This window comes from Homo sapiens, chromosome 4 (genome assembly GCF_000001405.40).
Source record: "Homo sapiens chromosome 4, GRCh38.p14 Primary Assembly".
In the NCBI taxonomy this organism is placed as follows: Eukaryota; Metazoa; Chordata; class Mammalia; order Primates; family Hominidae; genus Homo; species Homo sapiens.
The window spans coordinates 152,870,045-152,889,469 of NC_000004.12; the positions used below are offsets into that span (position 1 = coordinate 152,870,045).

Sequence of the window (19,425 nt, forward strand, 5' to 3'; positions counted from 1 at the left end):
CTACATCAGCACTTCTCAAATTTCAAAGTACATACAAATCACCTGGGGAAATCTTATGAAAATGTAGGTTTGGGTTCAGTAGGTCTGGGCAGGGTCTGAGATTTTGCATTTCTAACAAGCGTCCAGGTGAATTGAAGAAGGTCCTCTATGTCCACATTATGAATAGCAATGAGACACACTATGTGACATTTGATTTGTGATTTGAAATTTTTGGCTACAATTCCTGTGAAGGCTGTAGTTCATTCACATTTCTTATAAGAGATATGAGAGCATGTTTTAATATCCCTTACATGCCTTTGAATTTTTACTTGAAGAGCTTTTCCTTTATATATGAGAGTAGCAAGTTATGAAATATTTACTGAAGCTTTAAATCATCCAGCTATGGGACTGTATTCACATTCTGTTAACTGATTTTGGAAATAGTAGAGTCCAGTTAAAATCCTGGTTAGATGTCATCTACCAGATTTCATTATATAGTTACATATTCTGTTTAGTTTTGATAGTTTGATGAAAAGTTTATATAAAAACTGAGCCTGGTAGCATACATTTATTATTAGTCCTTCCCTGAAAGAAAACAAATATATTAATTCCAACTTTTAATCCTAGTGTTTGAATATTTTAAAGGAAATATCAGTAACCCTATATTCAAAATGTACAGTATGTGGAGGAGGAAAAGGATTTTCACAGTTAAAATGTCTACCTTTTCAGGTTCCCCAGCACCGCCACTGCCATCTGTTATGTCTCCTAGCAGGGTTGCAGCTAGTCGACTGGCTCAGCAAGGAAGTGATTTAATTGTTCCTGCAGGTATTCACTGCACTGATTGGATAAAGCACTTATTGCTACTGCTGAAGCTACACTAATTTACTCAGTTTCATAATCACTTGCTTTATATTCTTAGGTGTGTGTGATTCTGACTTTTTTGGTGGCTGCCTTATTAACAATAAAGGAAATAATTTTTCTAACTGTATCCTATCTTTGTGGCTTTTCAGAATAATTCGGCTGTATCTCACACCTGAAACTTAATCCATTTTAAAATTAAAACATTATAAAATTTGATTTGCTTTAAATCATTCTTTCTTTGCTCTGGAAATTGTAGGTTTACTGTTTGATCCTAAACTCTCATCTTTGCAGCTCTGCCTTCTATTTTCAGTTAAAGGAAAAACAACCTTCAACAATTAGGTTGGTTGTTTTTAAGAATGGATTAAATGAAAAAGGTCTTGTCTTCTTACTTTTAGCTTTAACTTACAAATAGTTTGCAGATTGCAACACAATACTGTTAATTTACCAGTTATACCCAATGAAAAATACTTGGGAAAATCAGTATCTTTACATTCAATTTGCTCTGCACTTTACCGTTACTGGACTATAAAAATGGGAGAAAAAATGAACTCCACGTTTCTTCTTATATGAAATGTTAACATTTATATTTTGTTTTGTGAGAATTTTGTAAATTCTTAAATGTGTTCTATTTTATATACCATTCTTGTTCTCGGACTGGTAAAGCTATGGGAAAGATTGGTCTGATTATAGGAATAAGTGAGAGAAGAAATTTTTGGGGATTTTTACTGGGGGCTGATCCTAATTTTTTCTTTTCCTTATTTCATTATTCTTTTTAAATTATTAGAAAGTTTCCATCCAAAAACTGAAATGAAAAATATTTTGACTATGAAAAGTATTTTACTATTAAGAACTATATAGTTGTAGAGTTGCTTTCATATCAAAAATTCTTAATTGTTGGAAGAGTACATTGTCAGGAATTTACACTGCTTCTTTATTCATTATGGCTCTTTTTGGTTTTCTTACCTTTTTTTTGTGGTCTCTTGAGAAAAAAGAGGTACAATATAGATCTTGTTTCAACCCAGCCTTTCATACTAGTGATAGCATATCTTTAATGACTATTTGAATTGAACTACTGTATGAAATTTGAATTATTTTTTTCAAATTCTCCAAAATTATAGCAACATTCTATTGTTGTTGTAGTCTGCACATTACAGTGAAAGATCACTGTGGGGAATACGTGGCCTTTTAGATTTTTATCGACCAAGATACTTCTTTTTTAGTGTCATTAGTGTATAAAATTAGTTGTGGAAATTTTATTTTTCTTGAAGTAAGCGGCAGCTTATATAGAAAATAAGGCTGATTGCAGCAAGAGTTTTTTTGTTTGTTTGTTTGTTTAAAGAAGACAGATAAGTCACATGGCATTTGTGTTTAATGGACAGAAGTGTTGTTTAAGTAATTAGGAAACTATCCTCAGCGATTCCAGGAAGTTCTAGTTCTTTACTTTGTGGGAACCTTTTTTTCTTTTTTTAGATGCATAAGAATTTCAATTTGAACAATATCAGGGTTTTGTTTTCTTTCCCTGCTTGTCTTCATCTGGATTGTGTTTTTATCTTTTGTTATCTTGCAGGTGGCCAGAGAACACAGACAAAAAGTGGACCAGTTATTCTAGCAGATGAAATTAAAAATCCTGCAATGGAAAAGTTAGAACTTGTTAGAAAATGGAGTCTAAACACCTATAAGGTTTGTAATTATTTAATGTTTCCACCCTAAATGGCTCTAAAAAAGTTCATTTATATGTTTATTCAAGTCATTATGTTGCAATTAAATGCACATAGAGAAGAGAAAATGCCATCTAAACATGGTAGAAATACAGTTTGAAAATGAAGTATTTGTTTTATCATTGATCTTTGCATGTAATTTAAGAATTTAGTACAAAAGAGTAAAAAAGCTATTAAAATGCTTATTAACCGATAATGTACATAATTGAAGACATGTACTGCTTTGGAATTTATTTAGCTGTAGAGCTACTATAGATATATTTGCTCCTTCCCCTCCTTTTGATACTTTATAGGAGCTGAAGGTGAAGAGAGGTATATTAGTTCTCCAAAGTTTGAAATTCTCTGATTTTACTATAATAACTAAGCATTAACTATATGGGCAACACCAGATTGCAAATTAGTTGTGTTTCTAAAGTTTGTTAACATTCTTAGTTGCATTGCTTCAGAGTAATTGGTGATTATTTTTCTTATGCCCTCCATAAAACAAATAAGCAAATTATTTAACCCATATTGTATTTGATGTATTACAAACAGCTCAACCCCCAAATCCACTTAGTACCTTTTGAATTTTAACAGGGACAAGACTGTAGAATTCGTGGAATAGTTAGGATGAAAGCCCTAGCAGCTCAGGTTAGAACATTAGCCACAATTCTCCCTATATTCGTGAACTGATTGTGGGTCTAGTGATTGGTAAATTAGGAATTGTCTGTATTTTTATACAGAACAGGCCTTTCTTACATCTTCTCAACAGTAAAACAGAAGTGAATTTATTCTTTCAGTTAATACCTTAAAAATATGATGTAGAAGTCTTCTACAAAAGTATAGGTTTTCTTAAGATGGTAAAACCTCCCTGAAACATGTTACATGAATCTGTCCAAAAATTATTTAGCTCATGAAAGTGTAGAATCTGAGAAATCCCAGTGGTAGTCTTCAAAAAGTGATGCTTGCTTAAACTAAACTCTTCTTCTAAAATATTCACGGATTTCTATTGCATCTTCTTGCTGATTCCACATAGCCAGTCAGTCGTTAAGTCCTATGCATTCTGCCTTCTTAATATTCTTTCACCTTTTCCCCGTTCTCCTCCATCCCAGCCTTCACAGCCATAGTTCATATTTATTACTCTCTCACATTACTGTAACAGCTTCTTAACCAATTCGCTAAGACTACATGTTCGACCCTGCCTAACGTGGGTTCGCTCCTGCTTAAAATCCTTCAGTCAATCCCCACTGTTTTTAGAGTGGCATGAATCTGACCTCTATCTACCTTTCCCACTCTGTCTCTGCCTCTTTTCTATCTATGGATCAAGTGATTCATACCAAATTTCCCAGAAACTTCCTAAACAATCTGTGCTTTCTCATACTTCTGTAACTTTGTTCATAAGACTATATCTGCCTCCTCCTTGGAATTCCCTTTCATTTTACTTGTTCATCTTTCATACTAGACTGAGCAAGTTTAAGCTTTTTGTTCATTTGAGTCTTCCTTTCATGTTGTTTAGTTGATGTTTTCATTGTTCATTATCTATTTGTTCCTATGTGTTTATGTGTTATTATCTGCTATTCTTGCATCTCTTATCTCTACAATAATCTGAATTGAATCACTATTAAGATTCCATATTTATCTCATATTGATATGCCACATTTAGCCTATTAAAAATTTGTGTTAATGAAAATGACAACTCTTTAAAATGTTATACATATGGTATAGTACTATGTGAAGGAGGCATTATTTTCTTTAAACCTTATTTTTAAATGACAATTTTTTCCATTAGAACTTAACTTGGATATTTTAATCTAGGTCAAAAAAGAAAAAGAAAGTATCTGACTTACATGATTCTGTGGAGTTAATAGTCCAGTGTGTCCAGGCTGACATATTCCACTCAACCAAAAAAAGTTCATAGTGTAATGACCTCATGGGGTCTGCATGACTCTCTGTGTTCTTACTGCTTTTTGAGCTTCTCAGCTCAAATTTTAGCTAATGTTGGGCATTCACTATCATTTGGATAATGCTTCAAATACTGATTCTGATTTGGTTGATTCAGGACTGTGCTTGTTATCCATTTACTGTTTGTTTGTTTGTTTGTGTAGATAGGTCTCACTCTGTCACTCAGGCTTGAGTGCAGTTGTATGATCATGGATCACTGCAACCATAACCACCTGGACCCAAGTGATCCTCTCACCTCAGCCTCCTGAGCAGCTGGGATACAGGCAGGCATCACCACTCCTGGCTAATTTCTTATTTTTTGTGGAGAGCGAGTCTCCCTATGTTGCTCAGGGTGGTCTTGAACTCCTGGGTTCAAGCAGTCCTCCCACCTCAGCCTCCCAAAGTGCAGGGACTTACAGGTGTTGAGCCACCAAGCCCGGCCCCATTTTACTCTTGAATAACTTGATTCTGGCTATGTCTTTGGTCCTCTCTCTTTCATGCTTTCTACCTTTAATTTCTTCGGTTTCTATTCTGTAACAAATGCTTTAATGCTTTTCCTTAAAGGGAATATTTAGCTTCATTTATTGGTTGTTAATTTTGGTCCCAAGACCAACATGGTGATTCAAAGCAAATATATAATAGGAGCAATTTTAGGTTTAGACATTGAACCTATCTTCTTAAATATTATTTTAATCTACCTGATTTTATTCACAAAATTTGAATCCAAAATCTATTTTCTTATTTATTTTCATCTACAGAAATAGTTGAAATAATAAACTATGGTTTACTTAAGTTTTTGATTTTTATTTTTTCCTAGTCTAAAGTAGAGTGCTTTTTGAAGTTTGTCTTTTTTTATAAAAAAAAAAAAAAAAAAAAAAAGAATAATCTCTCAGTTTCAGCATTCAGAGCTATTTGGCATCTTTCCCAAACTTTTTTCTTAATGTTTAAGAATTTGCCATTAGCATTCACACCCTTATCAAGTTAACCTTTGATGTCTTTAAACCAGTATCTTTTAAACTTTCATGCCTGTTTTTCTTGTCATGTTGCCTCATTCATTTATTGGTTGACTTACTTCCCCTGTTCATTTTCCTTTTGTGCTACCTTCTCTATCCCTTACCTTAATAATCCTTGTTGTATCTGTCAATTGTTGCCATAAGTTTATTCTTTTGCTTGTACTTAAATATCTTTATTCTTTTTTTTTTTTTTGGCACTACAGAAGAGCTCTTGGTGCTATTTGATAGGGTTTGGCTGTGTCCCCATCCAAATCTCAACTCCAGTTGTATCTCCTAGAATTCCCATGAGTTGTGGGAGGGACCTAAGGGGAGGTAATTGAATCATGGGAGCCGGTCTTTCCCATGCTATTCTCGTGATAGTGAATAAGTCTCACAAGATCTGGTGGGTTTATCAGGGGTTTCTGCTTTTGCTTCTTTCTCATTTTCTCTTGCTGCCACCATATAAGAAGTACCTTTCGCCTCCTGCCATGATTCTGAGGCCTCCCCAGCCATGTGGAACTGTAAGTCCAGTTAAACCTCTTTTTATTCCCAGTCTCGGGTCTGTCTTTATCAGCAGTGTGAAAACCAACTAATACAGTAAATTGGTACCAGGAATGGGTTGTTGCTGAAAAGATACCCAAAAATGTGGAAGCGACTGTGGAACTGGGTAACAAGCAGAGATTGGAACAGTTTGAAGGGCTCAGAAGAAGACAGGAAAATGTGGGAATGTTTGGAACTTCCTAGAGATTTGTTAAATGGCTCTGCCCAAAATGCTAATAGCGATATGGACAATAAAATCCAGGCTGAATAACTTATTGGGAACTGGAGCAAAGGTGACTCCTGTTATGTTTTAGCAAAGAGACTGGCGGCATTTTGCCCCTACCCTAGAGATTTGTGGAACTTTGAACCTGAGAGAGATGATTTAGGGTATCTGGCAGAAGAAATTTCTAAGCAGCAAAGCATTCAAGTGGTGACTTGGGTACTGTTAAAGGCATTCAGTTTTATAAGGGAAGCAGAGCATAAAAGTTTGGAGAATTTGCAGCCTGACTATGCGATAGAAAAGAAAAACCCATTTTGGGGGAGAAATTCAGGCCAGCTGCAGAAATTTGCATAAGTAGCAAGGATCCTAATGTTAATTGCCAAGATGATGGGGAAAATGTCTTCAGGCCATGTCAGAAATCTTCACGGCAGCCCCTTCCATCACAGGCCTGGAGGCCCAGGAGGAAAATGTGGTTTTGTGGGCCAGGCCCAGGGTCCCTGTGCTGTATGCAGCCTAGGGACTTAATGCCCTGTGTCCTAGCCGCTCCAGCCATGGCTGAAAGGGGCCAATGTAGAGCTTGGGCTGTGGCTTCAGAGGGTGGAAGCCCCAAGCCTTGGCAGCTTTCACATGATGTTGAGCCTGTGGGTGCACAGAAGTCAGGAATTGAGGTTTGGGAACCTCTGCCTAGATTTCAGAAGAGATATGGAAATGCCTGGGTGCCCAGGCAGAAGTTTGCTACAGGGGTGGGGCCCTCATGGAGAACCTCTGCTAGGGCAGTACAGAAGGGAATCGTGCGATCAGAGCCCCCCACACAGAGTCCCTACTGGGGCACCTCCTAGTGGAGCTATGAGAAGAGGGCCACCATCCTGCAGACCCCTGAATGGTAGATCCACCGATAGCTTGCACCGTGTACGTGGAAAAGCCTCAGACATTCAACGCCAGCCCATGAGAGCAGCTGGGAGGAAGGCTGTACCCTGAAAAGGCACAGGGGTGGAGCTGCCCAAGACCATGGGAACCCACCTCCTGCATCAGCATGACCTGGATGTGAGACCTGGAGATCATTTTGGAGCTTTAAAATTTGACTGCCCTGATGGATTTTGGACTACATGGGCCCTATAACCCCTTTGTTTTGGCCAATTTCTCCCATTTGGAATGGCTATATTTACCCAATACCTGTACCCCCATTGTATCTAGGAAGTAACTAGCTTGCTTTTGATTTTTACAGACTCACACGCATCTCAGATGAGACTTTGGACTGTGGACTTTTGGGTTAAGACTTTGGCTGAAATGAGTTAAGACTTTGGGGGACTGTTGGGAAGGCATGGTTGGTTTTGAAGTGTATGGACATGAGATTTGAAGGGGCCAGGGGTGGAATGATATGGTTTGGTTGTGTCCTCACCCAAATCTCAACTTGAGTTGTATCTCCCAGAATTGCCATGTGTTGTGGGAGGGACCCAGGGAGAGGTAATTGAATCATGGGGGCCGGTCTTGTCTGTGCTATTCTTGTGATGGTGAATCAGTCTCACAAGATCTGATAGGTTTATCAGGGGTTTCCGATTTTGCTTCTTTCTTATTTTCTCTTGCCACCACCATGTAAGAAGTGCCTTTTGCCTCCCGCTATGATTCTGAGGCCTCCCAGCCATGTGGAACTCTAAGTCCAATTAAACATATTTTTATTCCCAGTCTCAGGTATGTCTTTATCAGCAGCATGAAAATGGACTAATACACTACTTAAATACTCAGAGTACACAGTTGACTGTTGCATAAATTCATAAACCAGTATAATGCTGATTCATGGTATTTTGTACACTATCACTGTATTTCACCCACCCTTTCCCAAGTAGAGAATCTACATAGGTCAGTAATTTACTTTAGCTTCCTTTTGCCTCTTGAATTTAGCATCATTTGTCCTGTTCTTCAAAATGAATTTTTCATTTATATGGAAAACTGAATAGGACCACCAGCTCATTGTAAGTGATCTCCATTTTCAGGGACTCTGAGGAAGGTTAAATAATTTAGATTGTTAATTCTCTTCCATTTTGAACTTGCTTTATAATATATACTGATCTCCAATATTACATTTTATTTCAGTATATACTGGAAAGCAATTTAAATAAAAATCCACTGTAGAGATCATCTAAGACACTTCCTCTAGGACCCTGATGAGTTGGGAAATTGGTGGCAACTTTATATCTTCTCACTACAACTTCCTTTACAAAGCTTCCTGTAGGAAATCTGTAGTACTCTCATTTCCAGATTCTTTAGGTTTTGCTGAAAAGTGTAGATTTATCAGATTGGAATATATGTGAATCTAGTTTTACAACTTCTTTCAAGTGTCCAGTTTATCTTAATTTGCCTTATAATCAGTATCATCTTACTCTTCCCACTGCTTTGGCTTCCTGGAAACAAAAAACATTTCCTCATTAATTCTTCACCTCTATGCCTGCTTGTAACCGTTATTTCTGTGGGGGAAAAAAAGGCCACTCAGACAGCAGTGAGTACATTTCTCTCACTGTGCTAAGAAACAATCCTTCTTCAATGAATTCTGACTTAATGGATTATTATATCTAGGCTGTTGTGACAGTACCACATGCTTTGGCTTTTGAATAGAGTAAATGTCTCTGATAATATTGCATAGGGAAAACCCTGGTGTGGAAGAAAAATATGGGAATAAGTGATGTATCTATCTCCTTTATCTTGTTAAAATTTCTGGCATTATTTCTTGCTGATGGTTTTCTTGTTAAAATCACATCTTCAGTTCAAGTTTCTCTTGTGATTTTCATTTTCTAGGAGTGTTTGTACGTTTTCCACAGTAATACTTTATCCCCTTCCGTGGTTTTGATCTCTCACCCGTCCTGTTATTTGTGATTAAGGATTTCTCTACTTTTAAAAAATAACACTCTTTTGTTAAAAAAAAAAAAAGTTTATAAGGCTCCTTAGTTGATGAGAATAGAAAATGTGTTGGGAAGTAGAAAAATATATAAGCAGATTTGTGTATATTGACAAGAAAAAGTCTCAGATTATTTTGTTCATAGAAAAGAAATATTCAGGATATTATATATAGCATAATCTCATGTTTACTCTAAAAATATCTGAGATTGTATATGTTTGAAGGAAAGTCTAGTATACCTATCAGACTGTTAATAGTAGTTTTCTACTATTCAGTGTGATTAAAGGAAGAGGAAATTCACCTCTTATTTCATGCATTATTTTAATTTTTACCACAGACATTAATTCTGTAACCAGAACTTTGAAGAACATGATAAAGAGCAAGTTTTAAAAATTGTAGTACTGGCCAGGTGCGGTGGCTTATGCCTGTAATCCCAGCACTTTGGGAGGCCAAGACGGGCAGATCACTTGAGGTCAGGAGTTCGAGACCAGCCTGACCAACATGGAGAAACCCCGTCTCTATTAAAAATACAAAATTAGCCACGTGTGGTGTCGCATGCCTCTAATCCCAGCTACTCGGGAGGCTGAGGCAGAAGAATCGCTTGAACCCGGGAGGTGGAGATTGTGGTGAGCTGAGGCTGCACCATTGCACTCCAGCCTGGGCAACAGGAGCAAAACTCCATCTCAAACAAAACAAAACAAAACAAAAAATTGTAGTACTTATTTACTACTTTTTAAGAATATTTCTGATAACATTTAATGATGAGGTATATATTAATGCCCCAGTTATTCTTAAAATGTATTATCGAATGAAGTTGAGAGTAAAACATTAATACTAGGAAACTTATTTCCATGTGCTTTGAAATTAGATACTTTTTAAAAATTACAGGTTTCTAGGCTGAGCACAACGGCTCACGCCTGTAATCCCAGCACTTTGGGAGGCCAAGGCAGGTTGATCAGTTGAGCCCAGGAGTTTGAGACCAGCCTAGCCAACATGGCAAAACCCCATCTCTACTAAAAATACAAAAAATTAGCTGGGCTTGGTGGCGCACGCCTGTAATCTCAGCTACTTAGGAGGCCGAGACATGAGAATCACTTGAACCTGGGAGGTGGAGGTTGCAGTGAGCCGAGATTGGACCACTGCACTTCATCCAGCCTGGGCAATAGAGAGAGACTCCATCTCAGACAAAAAAAAAAAAAAATTATAGGTTTCTGTATTATTATTTCTGGGGCAGAATACAATAACATAACATCATATAATACCACACTGTGTGAGTAAAAGTAACTTAGTAGTTTCTCTCTCTTCCTCTTCCCCCCCGCTTTCATTCCTTCCTTCCTGTTTCTTCTTTCTTTATTCCTCATTCATACACACATATATATATACAAGTCATTTAAGGGGGAAGATAGAAGTAAAAGAGCATTTGAAAGCAGTAGGAGAGTAGTATTTTGGTGTTCTTATTATTCCTATATTAACAGTCTATATTAGTCTTAATGCCAAATATCTCTGTTTTAGATAATCTACCCAAATGTACTAAACTTGCAAAATAATTATGTGAGAGAGTTCTTATGGCAGTATATAAGTTTGCTAGATATGTCTTAAAACTTCCTTTGATTAGTAATAATTATTAGACACATCTGGTGAATTTACTTTCTGAGTCCTGATCAAGTAAGGGAGCTGACAATTTTCAGTTTGTTACGCTAGCTTGTTTGAATCCAAAAAATGGTGTATGCCATATGCTCTAGCATTTATATTTTGTTTTGTTTTTTCTTTCTAAACAAAATGCATCTTCCACTTTTAGTGTACTCGACAGATTATCTCTGAGAAGCTAGGCCGTGGCTCAAGAACTGTGGACCTTGAACTTGAAGCTCAGATTGATATATTAAGGGATAACAAGAAAAAATATGAAAATATTTTAAAACTGGCTCAAACATTGTCGACCCAGCTTTTCCAGATGGTACATACCCAAAGGCAACTTGGAGATGCATTTGCTGACCTGAGTTTGAAGTCACTAGAACTTCATGTAAGATTATTCTAAATAACTATTAGGGATGGGAGAAAATGATAATAGAAGTATTCTAAGAGGTAATTTGTTATTGTGATTTGCTGAACTCTTAATGAAGATGGAATTCTGAGATTCTCTTTTAAGATATTTCATATCACTTTAAGAAGGCCCTCTTAAAGTGATATGACTTCTGTTAACTTTACTTTTTATGAATTATCATATGTATATAAATCTTTCATATTTTTCTTCCTGTTTGTTAATATTTTATTTTGCCTTTTACTCCTTAATCAATATCAAGGGTTACTGTTGTAATATGTTCTGTTAACTTTTTCTAAAAGTTGTAAAAATGTTGTTTTCTGTATTATTCTATTTCCAGTAACATTTATGTAGACTTCAGTGAAGTGTGTAACTTAGCTTGTGGAAATTTGGTGCCAAAAATCTTAAGCTGTCCTGCTTTTCATTTTAGTTTTTACATGCATTGATTGGTAATCTTTTTATGTGGTCCTTTATCTGCCAATATTTGCAACAAATCAAGGTCTATAATATTTTGAAGACTGAGTACAGAGTGGAGTTACATGGACATCTCTTAAATGGAAAATGGTTTTAGCATAATAAGGATAATTTTACTTTCCTGCTATTTTCTGAATTATTGAATACTTTGTCACCTAAGAAACGTAATTACAGCTATTGCAATAGCATTAAATTTGTATCTTCTAATATTTTAGTTAATTTAATATTACATTATTTGTTTCAACTGAAATTGAAAAGTGTTTTGTAACAAACTGGAGAATTATCAAATTAAATGATACATCTTAGAATATGTGATCGGTTTTTTATTTGGTTAGGTGCATCCTGATTAATCTGTTAATTAGTAAAACTTGCACTGGAAAGCTTTCACTGCTGAATATACAGAGCTAGAGTTAGTTCTTGCCATATCTGAAGGAGTCATGTGTAATGTTTACTGCACCAAGATGCAGTTTATTCAAAAAGAATGAACTAAAGCTGGTGTTGAGTGATCCTTCCTCAGTTGTGTGCCTAAATAGAGCTGAGCTTGGGAGTCAGCTAGTCACCAAGTTTACAAAGAAATATGTATTGTTAATATTTATACTTTGAGGAGAATCAGTCAAAACACAAAAAAAATGCACTTTGTTTTATGTCTGAAAGTTTTAACCAATTATTACCTAATTTGGCTGTGAAAGTTATAGTTTCTCTGATTAATAATCTGCTCTATTTTTCTTTCCAACAGCTGTGCTTATAGTATAATAGAAACAAAATGTAGAAATGAAAATATTGTTTCTACTACAAAGTAACTTAAAAAAATTATTTAGCTTTTAGGTATGTATCTGAGCTGATGACAATTTTGGTTTATTAGACTTTTTCAGTAATTATATGGCTAGCTGTGATTTCGATTCTTAAAGACGGAAAGGAAAAGTAAAACTGCTACAGCTAGATCTCTATCTAAATCACATATTTTCCCATTAGTGACGTGCTTGAGATTTTTAAGTCACTTTTACTGATTTATTACTGAATAAATTAAGGTGACTTCTTTGTTTTAGGAAGAATTTGGCTATAATGCCGATACCCAGAAACTGCTGGCTAAAAATGGAGAGACTCTTCTTGGGGCCATTAATTTTTTCATTGCTAGTGTGAACACTTTGGTGAATAAAACCATTGAAGATACATTAATGACTGTGAAACAGTATGAAAGTGCCAGGTAAGGTATACATTTTCACTGTGTTGTCTGTTTTACAGATGGCATATAATTCAGTTAATTTTTTGGTTACAAACAACAGAAACCAACTCTGGCCAATATGGGCAGGAAAAAAATGTACTGGAAAGTTATAGGATGCCTCTACAGACCTGGCAGAAAGGGAGAGAACAAGATTCTGGAAACAACCAAGAACCAAAGCCAAGTTAAGCCTCAGAAGAATCTAATTAGAACCCCTATGCTGGGTGCCTCTAGTACTTGATGCTGCCACAGCTACCATAAATAATTTCCTAAATACCCATGAATACTTGCTTCATTGCCTTGAGATTATCTAATTGAGCCTTGGTCATGTGCCCAAACCCTGCCTTCTAGTGAGTAGGGAAATGGAGGATCTCCCAGCTCTGGCTTCTTTAGAAGAGGACAGGGCCCTATGTTCTACCAGGTAGGTATTACATGGTCCTCTATACTCTCGCCTAAATTTACCTTTCATCCTTATTACCACTGCTTCCACAATAGCCAGACCCATACTTTCAGTTTCTATTGAATAAATAAGCTCATTTTGCCTCCATGATTTTTGTTTGTTAGGATATCAGTCATCTTCCATTTATCCAGATTATAACAAGCCTTCAAACCCTTTCAAATTTTACCTTTTATATAAATTAAATATTTGACTTGTATTTTGATAACTGTTCATAATGCAGTGTTTTTATACATCCTATTTTAATGGGTTTTTGTATATCCATATTCATATATATATGTATATATACAGTTTCCCTGTCTCATAACTATCCTGTTAAATGGTGAACAAAATATATATTAATAAATATATTAATAAATATTTTGAAGGGTCTAAAATATGGCAGACCTATAATAGCCTTTTTCACCTTTTGATTCCAGGCCCAATTTTTTCCCCATATGCCCTACCCCTTTTATTTAAGTATCATTCTAGTCCCTTTTGAGGTTTTTTTCTTTTGAGCACTCAAAATTCTTATTTTCCATTATACTTTTTATGCATAGTTGAAGATAAACTTTACCTTTTAGAAGGATAACTTTACTCTTTGGCCTCTTATCCTAGTTTAATGGTATGAGAAATACCTGTAAAAAACTCCAAACTCATCTAGTATTTTTGCAATTGAGTGCTTATTAAATATATATTTCCTTACACTTCAATTAAGTAAAAGCCCAAATCATTTTGAAAAGTTAATTTTTGATGTTTTCACAGGAAGAGATGCTTCTGTCCCATACCATGTTTATTTTGTCATTTTCCATTTAGTATTAAAGTATGAGATTCTTATTGACTTGAAAATGAAGGTCAAACAGCTGTGGTTGTATGGAGGGGTAAGGGTGAGGATAGCTGTTAGTAAGATAGCCTTCCGTGGAAATCTCTTCAATAACATTCTCAGTAATTGGTGTTTCAGTCTCAGTGTAAATCCTTTCATGGAAATTATATTTTTCAAAGGGTTCATTATGTATATGAATTTTAAAATTCATTTATATAAGTTTTACTTGATCCTTTTCTAAATTTTTCTGTTCCTTGTTCATAATGTCCTAATTTGTTCATAATGGTACTGTTTCTTTTATCTCTAATCATTTTAAATATTCATATTTTCTAGTCCTTCTGATTGTTTTAACATGTATGGGTTTTAAAGATGGATATTGTTTTCTTCCAAAAATACCCCCACCACCTCCTAGTTGAGAACTTTGTGAATCTAGTTTCTCTACTTTGCAATTGTCTACCTATCCTGAAATATATTTTCGTTAATAATAATCTCTTTCCCTTCAGCTTTTATTTCTAAACAGTTTATAATTAATTTGTAGAGGAGAAAACACTCTAGAGGTTAAATGGTTTGCTCACTTGTAGTCAATTTCAAAGGCAAAATAAGAACCCATTGGTTCTCTATGGTTCACATTTTATCAGTAGGCCTTATACCTGAGTATTAGTGCCCTAAGTATAATGTGGTATAAGATCTCAGATTATAAAATACAGTATATAGGTTCATTTGGAACTTTTGAACAAAATTATAAATCAAGTTACATGTACTTGGTGGCTGGTTTCTTAAGGGAAACCCTTACACAGCCTCTGTGTGTACTTTAAAAAACAACAACAGTAATGTTGTTTTTGTTTTATGTCATCCCGTAATTTATCCTTTTTTATTCAAATTACAATGTATGATCTTATTCATTAAGCTTAGCTTGGGGTTTGACTTTTCTGTTGTTTATGAAATAGCTGTGGAATTGGCTAGTTGTTAACACTAAAACCTTGCCTACTGATGGATAATAGTCAAAAAGAATCCAAGGTTAAAAGTTTTTCAGTAGCTGAATTTCCTTCTCTGTCAAAGCCAGAATTTACTGACTTTTAGGGCAAGGGTCATCTATTTGATCAGTGCAAAAAGTGGTAATTTAGGCAAATGCCCGAGTGGCCTTTTAATCCTCCCTATTATGCATTGTGTACAAGTATTTCCTAGCCCTCTGGTGCTTCATGTATAGAAAATCTTGTAACAGCCCATTCAACACTTCTCCACAGCAGCACCAACAAGGGAGTCAATTGTGGTCGAGACTTTTCAGATGTGGACACCTGTTCTCTAGAAGTTTTACATAAGCCATAAAGTAACCGTCACTAACTTTGTTGATACGGACTCAGTTCAGACGGGCAACCTTGAAGTGAAGTTGCTTTTTGAAAACTTAGTGAGCTTCTCTTCTTGGTGGTAATGAGCACTGTTAGAGAAGCTATTATGGAAAGTTTTACTTTGGTACCACCTACAAACTCTGAATGTAAAATTAAGAAATATAAGGTCAGTATTATAACTTTGAATATGTTTGAGTTAATCACTGTTGTTTAGAAATGCGCTCCAAGGCTATTGAAGGATATTTGTCCTTAGATTAAATCACCATGTATTACTATTTATTTAGTTCTACTTTTTTCTCTTTTATTTCCTATTGTTTTTAGTGTGCTTGCTTCTAGATACCCCTCTTCTAATTTGGCCATAATAATAAGCATTCTAAAGGTATCAGTTATTACCAGGTATCCTGTGTGTTTTATCTATATGAAGTTTTTGTGGAGATTTTTGTTCACATTTATAGATTGAAAAACTGGAGCACAAAGAGATGAAATAACCAGCTCAAGAATAGAGCCAAAAGGCAGAGAGGTCATTCAGCTTGGCTCCTGAACCCATGGATTTAACTAACTAGTTATTATTGCCAAGTCAGTCTTGCCTCCTAAATCTTTTGTATTTGTCTCCTTAGCTCCAATGCCTTTGTCCTGATTCAGTGACTCATTTCTTATATGTCCATCGTTTTCTAATAGGTTTCCTTGCTCCTGATTTTTTAATCATTTATTCTATCCTCCATCTCTTACACTACCACCAGGGTCATCTTTCTATCCTGATACAATCATGTCATTTTTATGTCAGATCAACATTCTTCAGTGGCTTCCCATTACTTCTCCTACTGGATTAAATTTAAACACTTTAACATGGCCTGTAGGGCTGCTTACTTTCAATCCTGCCTGCCTGTCTAATGTTAATTCCTTCCATTGTCATGTTCCAGCTTCAGATTCTGACATACCGAATTCCCAAATGTGTCATTGTATCTTACAAATCTATGCCTTTGTCCATGCTATTCTCTTCAGAATCAGAGTATCCTACTGATTTCTGTATCCCAATTCACCTAGCCAGCTTTTACCATCCTTCAAATTTTAATTATAGTATTTTAATTCTGTCTGAGATACCTTTTCAGATATCTAATTAAATAATTATTCCTCTTGATTTCCATTATACCTTACCCTCATTTATGGTAGTTCTTATTATCTCATTTTGTTGTAATTGTTTACAAGGTTCTCTTCCTCTAGAATGCGAGCTTCTTGAGGATAAACATATCTGTTCATCTTTATAGCTCTACTTTCTAACACAGTGCCTGGAACGTGGAAAGTGCTCACTTGAGAATTGTTGAATGAATCAGTGTATCAGTGAATGAATGAATGGTTCTCTTTTGACCCTGAAAGAGGCCAATTAAATTAAATCTTAACTCATACTGCTAAATTCAGTATGAGTTAAGAATAAATTAGGATCAGTGTGAAGGACTGATGTATTCTTTCTCAAGTCATATATACAATATAGATTATGTTATTTAAAGTATTGTTAATTCCCAGAATAGGAGATGTGAATTATACACCTAATATCTCCAAATAAAGAGCTTTAGTTTTAGGGTATAAGCTTTGTGATTCTGATCTTGACTAAATTAGAGGTCACTTTGCTTCTTCTTTGCTGAGTACCGAATAGTTGAAGCTGCTGGATAAATCACTGTTTAATAAGCAAGATAGTACTATACTTAGACAGGCACTGTGATAGAGCTATTATGAGGAGTTATGGGATCTTGGAGTGATGACAGTGGTGGGGTAACTATTTGAGTTGATGGGGGGAGAATATCAGAGTGAGGCATCTTACAGAACACAGGATGGTAAGTGCTCTACAATAGATACTGTTGTTACATTCTGAATACTGATGTTACAGAAATTCATCTAGAGTTGTGTTGTCAAGTATAGTAGCCACACATGTCTGGTGAGCACTTGAAATGTGGCTAGTCTGAATTGAGATGGGATAGAAGTGTAAAATACACAGTGGATTTCAAAGACTCACTACCCACTCTCCAAATGTAAAGTACCTATGAATAATTCTGTTACATTGATTACATGCCACAATGATTAATATTTTAGATATATTGGGTAAAATGAAATATATTGATAACAGGTGAAATTAATTATTATTTCATTGTAACTACTAGAAAATTTTAAATTACATGTGTTACTCACATTACATTTTTGTTGTGCATTGCTAACCCAGACTTTTTTCAGAACCATTTACACTTCCGTTAGTTTTAGTATGCCATTCTAGAGTCTGCTGTCCTTACCTGCTTTGCCTAATCAGTACTAAGCAATTCACTTGGGGTATTTATTCTACCCTTGATCTTGTTTTGACATTTATTTTTTTTAACTGGTTTTTAGATTTTGGAAATTTTACTTGTCAGTTAATACTGTGCTTTGAGAGAAATAGTTAATGAGATTAACCAGCAGCTTTGTTCTTATTTAAATAGCTCTTTGTTTTTAAAGAAATAATGATTTCAAAAGCGTCAAGTAGAATATGTGTGAGAATTTTATATATTTTATTGTATAGTATGAGACTGAATATTACGTATTTCCAACCCATTTTTTGAACATACTTTACTGTTCTTGTAGTATGCTTCACTTACTCTCTTCTTTCCAGGATTGAATATGATGCATATCGCACTGATTTGGAAGAACTGAATCTTGGACCACGTGACGCAAACACTCTGCCAAAGATTGAGCAGTCACAGCATCTCTTCCAAGCACATAAGGAAAAATATGATAAAATGCGCAATGATGTTTCTGTCAAATTGAAATTTCTAGAAGAAAATAAGGTAAATTCTTTACCTTCTAAGGTCTTTCTGTGGACTTTGAAGTCACCCTAAAGAGAGATAGTCAGTTTTTCTGTTTCTGTTAACTCTCTTGTATGACAATTGCAAGAAGGAATTCCATTTGTAATCAGTGTTTGAGTTTTTAGAAGCATACAAAATATATTTACCTTTCTTTGATAAAAGTTATCAATGCCACCGTCCCAGTCTTTCACATATAACACATGGCAAAAAGTATTTGATGGACAGCCATTGATCTTTGGATTGGCGTTGATAGCAAGTGCTTTAAAAATTGAAATAATGATAGATTATGCTCTGAATATTTTGAAGCTTTTCTATTAATGATAGGTACAGATTTCAGGAAAAGAACTATGGCATTCTTCTCAGCAATTGATAAGTGAAAAATAGCTAAAAGGTCCAGCTTAGGGCTGCAGTTAGCATAACCTAGGAGAAGGAAGCCAAGAGATCCATTTTCCACATTTTTTTCATATGTGAACACATCTAAGGACTAGAGCAACGAGGGCTGAACTGGACCAGCTGTAGGTTTCAGCAGGAAGTGGATTCATATACTAATAGGCTCCTGTGTTTTGGTTTAAGTAAAAGGATGGTTTCTCATGTTTGACATATCTCTATTACTTGCATATTCAGCTTTGTATGCAGGATTGCAGTTCTGGAAATGGGAAATGAGTGAGCATGGTACGGAATAGGTGTAGTGCAGTCCTGAACAGATGGGTCTCACCATTGCACGTTGGTAGTTTTTTCTGTGCATTTCACATCCTGTGAAGTCATGACAGGTCTTCAACTGTACTCTCTTCCAGGTACCCTCTTAAAATTGTTTTTCAGTTCTCTCAGGAAACAGTCATGTTTATATTCTCCTCCATAACATCAAAGGGCATTTTAGTAAACTATAACTGTCAGTATCTTATTGTTTTCTTTAACATTTCCTTAGAAACTCTCATGGCTACTATAAAACCTATAAAATAATATATTTCTTTGGGATCCACCTAGTCCAGCACTTTCACTGACTTGTTTTTAAGCTGCTATGGGTGAAAATTACTCACCAGAAAACATTATAGTGGCAATAAAGGAAACCTCAGCAGAGTTGTTAGAAAAATTGCCTGGCATCATTCAGACAGAGCCCAGTGCAGCCTTCTGGTATTCATTAGCT

The 19,425-nt window shown here is 35.4% G+C and overlaps 1 protein-coding gene across 6 annotated transcripts in view; it reads left to right on the top strand.

Annotated features, from left to right (window-relative positions):
* The window catches only part of ARFIP1 (ARF interacting protein 1), a 132,404-nt gene that overhangs the window by 90,091 nt on the left and 22,888 nt on the right, over positions 1-19,425 (top strand). For 3 of the 6 annotated variants that reach the window (NM_001287432.2, NM_001025595.3, NM_001287431.2), the window contains 5 exons: positions 709-804; positions 2,408-2,520; positions 10,919-11,140; positions 12,679-12,836; positions 18,089-18,263. In NM_001287432.2, the coding sequence (NP_001274361.1) occupies positions 709-804; positions 2,408-2,520; positions 10,919-11,140; positions 12,679-12,836; positions 18,089-18,263 (764 nt within the window). The remainder of the gene's footprint in view (positions 1-708; positions 805-2,407; positions 2,521-10,918; positions 11,141-12,678; positions 12,837-18,088; positions 18,264-19,425) is intronic. The other 3 variants (NM_001025593.3, NM_001287433.2, NM_014447.4) reach the window with 1 other exon arrangement.